Source organism: Homo sapiens, chromosome 8 (genome assembly GCF_000001405.40).
Source record: "Homo sapiens chromosome 8, GRCh38.p14 Primary Assembly".
NCBI lineage: Eukaryota > Metazoa > Chordata > Mammalia > Primates > Hominidae > Homo > Homo sapiens.
Genome location: NC_000008.11, coordinates 37,802,508 through 37,812,843, shown reverse-complemented (window position 1 = coordinate 37,812,843; position 10,336 = coordinate 37,802,508). Strand labels below are relative to the sequence as shown.

General features: G+C 52.4%; 1 protein-coding gene across 4 annotated transcripts in view, besides 2 other annotated features; it reads right to left on the bottom strand.

Moving 5' to 3' along the window:
- Nucleotides 1-10,336, bottom strand: part of ADGRA2 (adhesion G protein-coupled receptor A2) — a 48,014-nt gene that overhangs the window by 32,053 nt on the left and 5,625 nt on the right. The window lies entirely within an intron of this gene.
- Nucleotides 3,106-3,328: a silencer, noted in NCBI's record as "fragment chr8:37667034-37667256 (GRCh37/hg19 assembly coordinates)". NCBI's record gives its function as "represses an EF-1alpha promoter that drives an FKBP-Casp9 reporter gene in an ReSE screen in K562 erythroleukemia cells {active_cell/tissue: K562}" and the evidence as "EXISTENCE:reporter gene assay evidence [ECO:0000049][PMID:32094911]".
- Nucleotides 8,211-8,310: an enhancer, noted in NCBI's record as "active region_27233". NCBI's record gives its function as "activates an Ori minimal core promoter by ATAC-STARR-seq in GM12878 lymphoblastoid cells {active_cell/tissue: GM12878}" and the evidence as "EXISTENCE:reporter gene assay evidence [ECO:0000049][PMID:35858748]".

Genomic DNA, 10,336 nt, shown 5'->3' with positions numbered 1-10,336 from the left:
AAAAAATTAGCTGGGCCTGGTGGCATGGTACCTATAGTCCCAGCTACTCAGGAGCCTGAGGGAGGAGGATTGTATCACTTGAGCCCAGGAGTTCGAGGCTGCAGTGAGCTATGATGGCACCATTGCACTCCACCCTGGGCAAGAGTGAGACCTAGTCTCAAAAAAAAAAAAAATTCTGCAACTCCCAAATCCTCAATATTTTTATTTTTATTTTTTTGAGACGGAGTCTCGCTCTGTTGCCCAGGCTGGAGTGCAGTGGTGCAATCTCCGCCCACTGCAAGCTCTGCCTCCCGGGCTCACGCCATTCTCCTGCCTCAGCCTCCAGAGTAGCTGGGACTACAGGTGCCCGCCACCACGCCCGGCTAATTTTTTGTATTTTTAGTGGAGACGGGGTTTCACCGTGTTAGCCAGGATGGTCTCGATCTCCTGACTTCGTGATCCACCCGCCTCGGGCTCCCAAAGTGCTGGGATTACAGGCGTGAGCCACCGCGCCCAGCCACAAATCCTCAATATTAAAACCTGAGATCTCAGTTTGAGAGCTCTGCCCAGCGTGGGGCAGAGGTAGTGTTGGTGGGGGTGATTCCTCACATTTTCCCAACTCTTTAGCCTTTAACCCACTTCAAATACCCCAAATTCTTTAACAGAGAGCTGACAACAACAACAACAACAACAACAACAACAACAACAACACCATTGCAAGTGCATGTCATTTTAAATTTTCTTTTCTTTTCTTTTTTTTTCTGAAAGAGAGTCTCATTCTGTGGCCCAGACTGGAGTGCAATGGCACGATGTCGGCTCACTGCAACCTCCGCCTCTCGGGTTCAAGTGATTCTCCTGCCTCAGCCTCCAGAGTAGCTGGATTACAGGTGCCCGTCACCATGCATGGCTAATTTTTATCTTTTTAGTAGAGGCGGGGTTTCACCATGTTGGCCAGGTTGGTCTCAAACTCCTGACTTCAGGTGATCCGCCTGCCTCGGCCTCCCAGAGTGCTGGGATTATAGGTGTAAACTACCGCACCCAGCCCATTTTAAATTTCCTAGTAGCCACATTTAAAAAGTTTAAAAGTTGGGCCAGGTGCGGTGGCTCACACCTATAATCCCAGAACTCTGGGAGGCTGAGGCGGGCAGATCACCTGTGGTCAGGAGTTTGAGACCAGCCTGGCAAACATGGCGAAACCCCGTCTCTACCAAAAATACAAAATTAGCCAGGCGTGGTGGTGCATGCCTGTAATCCCAGCTACTTGGAGGGCTGAGGCAGGAGAATCACTTGAACCTGGGAGGCGGAGGTTCCAGTGAGCCGAGATTGCACCATTGCACTCCAGCCTGGGCAACAAGAGAAAAACTCTGTTGCCAAAAAAAAAAAAAAAAAAGTTGGCTGGGTGCAGTGGTTTACATCTGTAATCCCAGCACTTTGAGAGGCTGAGGCAGGCAGATCACCTGAGGTCAGGAGTTGGAGACCAGCCTGGCCAACATGGTGAAACTCCATCTCTACTAAAAATACAAAAAAATTAGCCAGGCGTGGTGGCAGGCGCCTGTAATCCCAGCCACTTGGGAGGCTGAGGCAGGAGAATCTCTTGAACCCAAGAGGCGGAGGTTGCAGTGAGCCGAGAACGCGCTATTGCACTCCAGCCTGGGTGACAAGAGTGAAACTCCGTCTCAAAAAAAAAAAAAAAAAACACACACACACACACAGTATAAAAGTTCTTTTTTTTTTTTTTTTTTTTTGTTTTTGAGACAGAGTCTTGCTCTGTTGCCCAGTCTGCAGTGCAGTGGCGTGATCTCGGCTCACTGCAAGCTCCGCCTCCCGGCTTCACGCCATTCTCCTGCCTCAGCCTTTTGAGTAGCCGGGACTACAGGCACCCGCCACCCTAATTTTTTTGTATTTTTTTTTTAGTAGAGACGGGGTTTCACTATGTTAGCCAGGATGGTCTTGATCTCCTGACCTCATGATCCACTCGCCTCGGCCTCCCAAAGTGCTGGGATTACAGGCATGATACGGCCACCGCGCCCAGCCTAAAAGTTCATTTTGAGAACATATGTTATTTAGGCCTGGTGCAGTGGCTCATGCCTGCAATCCCAGTGCTTTGGAAAGCTGAGTCAGGAGAATTGCTTGAAGCCAGGAGTTCAAGACCAGTCTGGGCAACATAGCAAGACCCTGTCTCTATAAAACATTTTTTAAAAAGTAGCCAGACGTGGTGGCCTGCCTGTAGTCCTAGCTACTTGGGAGGACGAGGCAAGAGGATCACTTGAGCCCAGGAGTTTGAGGCTGCAGTGAGCTGTGATTGCACCACTGCACTCCAGCCTGAGCGAGACCCTGTTTCTTTTCTTTTTTTTTGAGAGAGAGAGCCTTGCTCTGTTGCCAGGCTGGAGTGCAGTGGCATGCTCTCAGCTCACTGCAACCTCCGCCTCCTGGGTTCAAGCGATTCTCCTACTGCCGCCTCCCAAGTAGCTGGGACTACAGGTGCATGCCACCACACCCAGCTAATTTTTGTATTTTTAGTAGAAACGGGGTTTCACCATGTTGGCCAGGATGGTCTCGATCTCTTGATCTCATGATCCGCCCGCCTCATCTTCCTAAAGTGCTGGGATTACAGGCGTGAGCCACCTCACCCAGCCTAGCGAGACCCTGTTTCTAAAAATATATGTGTGTGTGTGTATATATATATATTTTTATATATATATGATCTAACTCAATGTATCCAAAATGTTATTTTTATATGTAATCAATATAAAATTATTAATGAGATACTTTCATTTTGATTTTGGTAGAAAGTCTTAGGACTCTGGAATGTCCTACTACTCTATTCTCTGCCAACACACCTAAATTCAGACCAGCTGCGGGCACTGGTGTCAGTGTGCAGGGCGGCAGCAGAGCGACAGATCGGGGACCTACCCCAGAGGAGGGCAAGGACAAGCCTCTGGCCCAGAATAGCTTATCTCTGGGACCGGCTCCCATCCCTCCCCAGGCTGCCCTGAGCCCAGACTTCATGCAGTCCCGGTCTCGGCCTCTCTCTCTCTTCCCTCCACCCACCCCTCTCTCTCTGAGGCAGCCTCTGTGTGTGCTGGGAGGCAAGGGCTGAGTTGAGTGGGGGGCAGCTGCAGCCCACGCTTCCGGTTTGGCTAGCCCAGCACCAACTCCAGCCCTGAAAGTCTTGAAATGAGATATTTTCTTGCTGCAGAGAACATGGTCCTGATGCCCCACCCTCTGACCCACTCGCAGATGCAGGCACCAGGCAAAGGCCTTTTCATCCTTCTCCTCCAAGGGGCCCCCTTCTTGCCAAATTTCTAGCTCTTGGAAAGACCTCAGGCAGATTGCTGTGTGATTCGAGTCCTCAGATACCCAGGGTTGGATCTTTTGGCCTTAACAACCTGGAGAGGTCTGAGGAAGTTTACTCTAGACCTAGATTATCCAGAGAGGGGCCTCCATTGACATTGAGTTGCTGGTTCTATTCTCCAGAGGGTGCCTTGTGGTGGGTCTATCTGGGGAGAGGAGGGCAGGCAGTTTTAGACAGATAGTGCAGGGGTCTGGTCTTTTTTTTTTTTTTTAAGAGAGACAAGTTTCGCTCTATTGCCCAGGCTGGAGTACAGTGGCATGATCACAAATCACTGCAGCCTCCACCTCTTGAGCTCAAGCAATCCTCTCACCTTGGCCTCCCCAGGAGCTAGGACTACAGGCATGCGCCACCATGACCAGCTAATTAAAAAAAAAATGTTTTTGTAGAGGCTAGATGCGGTGGCTCATGCCTATAATCCCAGCTTTTTGGGAGGCCAAGGTGGGTGGATCACTTGAGGCCAGGAGTTCAAGACCAGCCTAGCCAACATGGTGAAATCCCATCTCTACTAAAAACAAAAATTAGCCAGGTGTGGTGGCACGCACCTGTAATCCCAGCTACTCTGGAGGCTGAGGCAGGAGAATCGCTTGAACCTGGGAGGTGGAGGTTGCAGTAAGCCAAGATAAATCATGCCACTGTACTCCAGCCTGGGCAGCAGAGCAAGACTCTGTCTCAAAAACAAAAATTAAAAATAAAAATAAATAAAGAAAGAAAAAAGTTTTTCTAGAGGTGAGGATCTCACTATGTTACCCAGGCTAGTCTTGAACTTCTAAACTAAAGAAATCGACTTGCCTCAGCCTCCCAAAGTGCTGGGATTATAGGGATGAGCCACTGTGCCTGGCTGGGTCTGGCATTTTTATGGGCAGGTAGAAAGCTGGGTGTTACAGCACTGCTGATGGGGATGAACATGCACGCAGGCCCATGCACACACACACACACACACACACACACACAGCTTCATCCAATGGGCAGAAAAATGTTCCCACCATTCTAGGCTGTCCCCTGGGAGGAAAGCAGGCAAAGTGGCCACAATTGGGCAGGGAAGGAGGGAGCCTTGGACCCACAGCTCCATCCAACACAGACATAGGGTCAGCCTCGGCCCTCTTCAACCCCCACAAGACAGACGCCTCCTCAACCTGCTCCGTCCTCTGACCCTAAAACCTCACGGGGGCCAGCCAGGTAGATGTCCTGCCCAACCACACACTAGCTCTGCCCCAGAGCCCTGGCTGGCCTGGCCAGGCATCTTCGGCTTCTTTCTTCCCTCCCTCCCACGCCCTTCTCCCACTCCTAATGTCAAGCTTTTCACAGGAAGGAGGGCCAGTCCCTGGAGTCTCCTGTTCTCTACTTCAGAGTTTGAAATCTGGCCAGAGAGAGGGGGCACACCGAGTCCATTCCAGAACTCTCTCCCGGCTGGGGTCCCATTTTGTGGGAGAGAAGCAAGCAGAGTTCCCACTAATGAGGCTGGAGGCCAAGGGAGCAAGCGGCTGGCGTCTACAGAGAGGCTCTGTGGGCTCTGGGCAGCCGCAGGAACGTACCAGATACCACCCCAACATCAAAGATGACCCTGCAGGAGTCACGTGGGCACATAGCACATGCCTGAACTAAATGTTTCTCACATGTGCGGGAAGAGTCATGCATGTCAGCCCCCTGCCAACCACTCAGACCCAATGAGCTCCTCTCTGGACTTGGGATATCCATACTCCCTAGGGAGTCTGATCCTGGAGCCTCCATCGGTTCAGGCCATCACTAGGTTCCTAAAGGTTCCCAGAGTCTGGGAGGCCCTGTCTCCAACACCTGCCACTGGCAGCTTGGCCGTGTCTTAGGGAAACCATCACAGAACTGGTAGGGGGCAGTCTGCTTGCTGATGCCAAAAAGCCCTGGGGCTCGAACACCCACCGAAATCAGAGCTCTCAGCCTCCCCTGCAGCCGCTGTGCCTTTGAGCATTTCCAGGGCTCAAAGAGATGCCTAAAACCTAAAAAAGAAGCATTGCCTCTAAAATATAGATGCTGCAAAGACGGAAATTAACCAATGCTTAATGACATAATTACCCAATGTCATACTATGTCATTAGCAATAATTATTATGTTCGATGACGGATGTGGGTACATTTTAGTATGGTTGATACGACAGTAAGACCTCCAAAAGTGAGGATGCTCGCCGTGCACAGGCCCTGTTTCAACACACAACCTCAAGCGAAAGGCTGGCCTGTGGCTTCCCGTCCCTCCGTGGCTGCCTTCACATGCATTTAGCCTGACTGCAAGGGACATAAATGTTGGTGAGGACATGTAAGGTGTTCTGCCCGCTCCTGCACTTCCCTGCCACCCTTCCCTGGGCTGGACGCTTGTCAGGTCAGCCCTGAACACCGACTGGCAATAGAAGGAGGCCTAGGGAGGGGCTTTAGGGGGTTGGGTCCTGAGACTGCCCCTGAACCCAGCCTGGAAGCTGGGCTGTCCAGGCAGGGCTGGAGGCCCAGGCCATGAGAGAAAACAGACCTGCAGTGAGTCCTGCTCCACCCTGCCTTCTCTCATAGGTCTAGTCTCCTTTCTCTAACCTACCCTCTCTACAAGGGCACCCCAACTTGGTGGTGAGCAGGGGGAACCAAGAAACTGGGGCTTGGATGGGAAGGGAATCTGTGGCTTTGGGACAGAATCTGGAGACAGAAGCCTAAGAAAATGGGCTACATGCCGGGCGCAGTGGCTCACATCTGTAATCTCAGCACTTTGGGAGGACAAGGTGGATGGATCACTTGAGGTCAGGAGTTCGAGACCAGCCTGGCCAACATGGTGAAACCCCGTCTCTATTAAAAATACAAAAATTAGCTGGACAAGGTAGCATGCATCTGTAGTCCCAGCTACTAGGGAGGCTGAGGCAGGAGAATTGCTTGAACCCAGGAGGCAGAGGTTGCAGAGAGCCAAGATCGTGCCACTGCACTCCAGCCTGGGTGACAGAGTGAGACTCGACTCTGTCTCAAAAAAAAAAAAAAAAGAAAAAGAAAAAAGAAAAAGAAAAAGAAAAAGAAAATGCCACACCCATAGGGGTCACATTGTCTGAAGCTACCCGAGGTGGTGCCAGAGAGGAAGAGGAAACAGTTGGGGGTAATCAGTATACCTTGATGGGGATTTGGGGGTCACAGCATCCTGGCTTGAGCACAAGGAACATAGTCTGCTGTAATCATCCACAGTTAGGTATTCATTCATTCATCCATTCATTCATTCATTGCTCAGAGCTACCTAACAGCCACTGTGCACTCAGCCTTGTGTAACAGGCTAGTCCTACAAACATAAATCATACATCACATATCTGCAAACTTCCATTCATAGGAGGTGGAGGGAGATGTGTCCAACAGGATGGAATGTTCATCTATGTGTGTGTCTGTGTCCCCCTGATTTGTGGAGGCTGGGAAATTACCCCCAACTGACCTTAAACATTTCCTCCATGCACAACCTAAAAGCCCCCCGGGGGGAGCCAAACTTTTGAGTGAAGAAAGCAGACCTCTTTGAGGGGTAGGTGGTGATGGAGGTCTCACTATGTTGCCCAGGTTGGTCTTGAACTCCTCTTGCCTCAGCCTCTGGACTAGCTAGTATGCCACCATGCCCAGCTAACAAAAAAAAGTGTTTGTTTGTTTGTTTGTTTGTTTTTGTTTGAGAAGGAGTCTCACTCTGTCGCCCAGGCTAGAGTGCAGTGGTACGATCTCGGCTCACTGCAACCTCCACCTCCCGGGTCCAAGTAACTCGCCTGCCTCAGCCTCATGAGTAGCTGGGATTACAGGCGCGCACCACTACACCCGGCTAATTTTTTGTATTTTTAGTAGAGACGGGGTTTCACTGTGTTAGCCAGGATGGTCTCGAACTCCTGACCTCGTGATCCACCCACCTCGGCCTCCCAAAGTGTTGGAATTACAGGCGTGAGCCACCGTGACTGGCCAAAAAAGAAAAAAAAAATTTAGACACGGATCTCTATGTGCCCAGAATGGTTTTGAACCCCTGGCCTCAAGTGATCCCCCTGCCTCAGCCTGCAGAGTAGCTGAGATTACAGGGAAGGGCCAACACACGCGGCGCAGACCTCTTTTAAAATACAAACAGACCCAAAAGGATGGAAGTTATCAATGTTTTCTACCTACGCAGATACTCATCTTTGACCTTTCCTCCATAGAAGCTATATTTGCTACCCTGATCCTGTCCGGCGTTGTAAGCTGGTACCTGTCTCCAGGAGACTGTAAGGACAGAAGGGCAGAGCCTGGGTCTTTTGCCTCCTCCCATGGGGTGAAGATACACTGTAGGCATTGGCTGAGTGACAGGGGCAGAGCTCCAGGATGGAGGGGATGTTTGGTCAACAGAGAGTTCACTGCTGAGCCCTGGGTTTCCCCAAGCCAAACGGCAGTTTCTTTCTACCTCCAATTCCCTCTCTCTCCCCAACACCTAGGAGATAGCATCCATCCTTCTCTGAGTGAGCCGGGCTCCACGGTACAGCCTTTCTGGGATGCCACACCCATAGGGGTCACATTGTCTGAAGCTACCCGAGGTGGTGCCAGAGAGGAAGAGGAAACAGTTGGAAGGGCGTTTTAGAGACCATGGGTTGCACATTTCCTGGGTCAGACTGATTTCAAATACTCCATGCAGTGCTTATGTACAGGGACCCCGTGAGTACGCTTGTACTTGTTAGGCCATTATGGGGTCGGGGGAGCCCCTTTTCCCTGGCTCATGTATCCATGTGGAGGAAAACGGATTAGGGCATCTGCTCTGTCCCATCTCCAGGGATGGCTCCTCTGATTGGTCAGTGTGCAAAGAGGCCCCAGACCTTCCTGCCTGCAGAGCTGTTTAATGTGGGGGCTCTCCTTCAGAGGGGCTGGGAGTGGGACTCGGATGTCCCCTGGGTGGGCAGCTCTGACTAAACTCATGGCTGCTGAACCTCTAAGCTAGGTGTTCCAACAGTTTTTATCAACAATAAACCTGTATTTTGACCTCCTGTTTGCTAACCTATTCTGTATCTCGGCAACCCTCCTCAAGTGAAGTCAGGAAGTACTATTTTTGGGGTCAGGCCGCTTAAACTCCCAGTCCCACGTGCCTGCATTTTCATCAGAAAACACCCTTGCCATCAGCAGAGTGGGCAGGTGTGGCCTCCAGGGCCCCTGCTGCCTGGGGCAGTGTCACTGTTTGAGACTGAGGGTGGTGAAGCTTTCAAGAGGTCTGAGAAGCTTCACAGTCTCCAGATCTCTCTGTCTTGCTTCCTCTTCCTTTCTCCTGGAGATGTGGCTGCCCTTGGTGGCTTTGTCTCTAGGTTCCCACCTGCACAGACTAACAGCAGAGGGGATGGGAGGCAGGAGCCCTGGGGTCTAGTTAGAGCTGCCTGGCTAAGAGCCGTGTGTGTGTGTGTGTGTGTGTGTGTGTGTGTGTGTGTGTGTGTGTGTGTGTCTCACCGTGGGCAGGCTGGCCCCTCCCTGGGGGTAGACTGGAGACCCCACATCTTATCTTTGATGGTCTTTCCCATCCTGGATGCTGAGTCTCCTGAAGCCTGAAGTCATAGTTTCTGCCTTGATACACAATTCCCAGCAAGGCTAGGAGCCCTGGCAGGGGAAGGGAGGAGGAGAGGGAGGAACAGAGGCGGTAGAGGGGGCCCTGAGACCTTCTCTTCCCTTCCCAGCTGGGAGATGTCTGGCCCCTTGGTTGAGGCTGGAACTCCCTCCCCAGGACTCGCTCTCCCACCCTGTCCATTGCCTGCTCCTCTGTGACAGATGGGGCTCCCGTGCCTCACCTGGCCCCATCCATCCTGCACACATCCCTGGCTCCCAGGAAAGGGCTGGGAGAGCTGAGAGTGTCCTGGGAGGCTGCTGGAGTGACCTACACTCCACGGCTTCTCTGCCCCCTCCCCCCATAACCCAGTCCTGAAAGCAAAGGAATGTTCTGGAGTTTGGGAAGGATGGGGGCCCCTGGAGGAGGGAGGAAGGGGAGGAGGCAGCTTCGTCCTGTCAGTGTCTGAGCTGTAAATAGAACAGAGCGGCTGGGCTGGGGGAATGAAAATAAACAGCCCCTCTGAGCAGCCCTTCCTAGCGGTTAGCGGATCTTCCTTCTGGTCCCCCAGTCCCGGGCCATTTCCCTCCTCTCCCCGCCCCTGCTCTCTGGCTGCTCCCAGGGAGGCTGGGGCAGCCTCTACCTCTGGGGTGATGGGGAAGATAGCAGTGTCTGGGTCCAGGCTGTCCGGGAACTCTCCTCCCCTCTCTGGACTTTGCTGAGGGGAGCAGCCGGTGCCTCCACGGAGTGGAAGGACAGCGATCAACTCAGAGGTGGCTGGAACTTATTCTCCATCAGGAAAGGGTTCTTCTCCCAATGACTCCCATGTGGGATAAACTTAGAAACACTCTCTTTCTTTAAAAACATGACCCGCATTGAAGGGTCAATTTATGGTTAGGTTCAAATTACACTGGTTTGCCTGTGCCTTTGGGGGAAATTCTCACACTCCCCCCAGGACGAGGGGTTGCCACTCCCCCTCCCTAATCACAGAGGGGAGAGCCGTGGTAGCCAGCAGGCAGGGACTTCGGTGGCTTCAGGAGTGGTTGGGTTCATGCACATGCAGGAGTAACTCCGGCCAAATAACACATTTGGGATCTTGGACCCACTGGGGGCGGAGTCACAAGTGCCCCCTTAGGAGCCAGCACGATGGCCTCTGCAGTTTTCTTCATTCAACCAGTGAGCCCCAGAGAGCTCTGAGCTCTGCCCAGGGCTCTCCCTAGGATGGGACCCTGACTCTAACATCCTGCAGCAGAGGGAGCTCTCAGGGGAGGGGCTTCCAGGCCCCAGAGGATGGATGGGTGGAATTCCTGTATCCTGAGCTAGCGACCTCCAGCTTCTCCAGTGGGTGGTGGGGAAGAGTCCAGGAGAGACTGAGGTTTCTGCTGGGCCCCTGCCTTTGAACAGGCGAGGTCCCGGAGCCCGGGTGGGGGTGCCGCAGCTAAGACCTGCACCCCTGGGTGGGGAGGGGAGTGGGTGCTGGAGTCTCTGGGCTTGCTC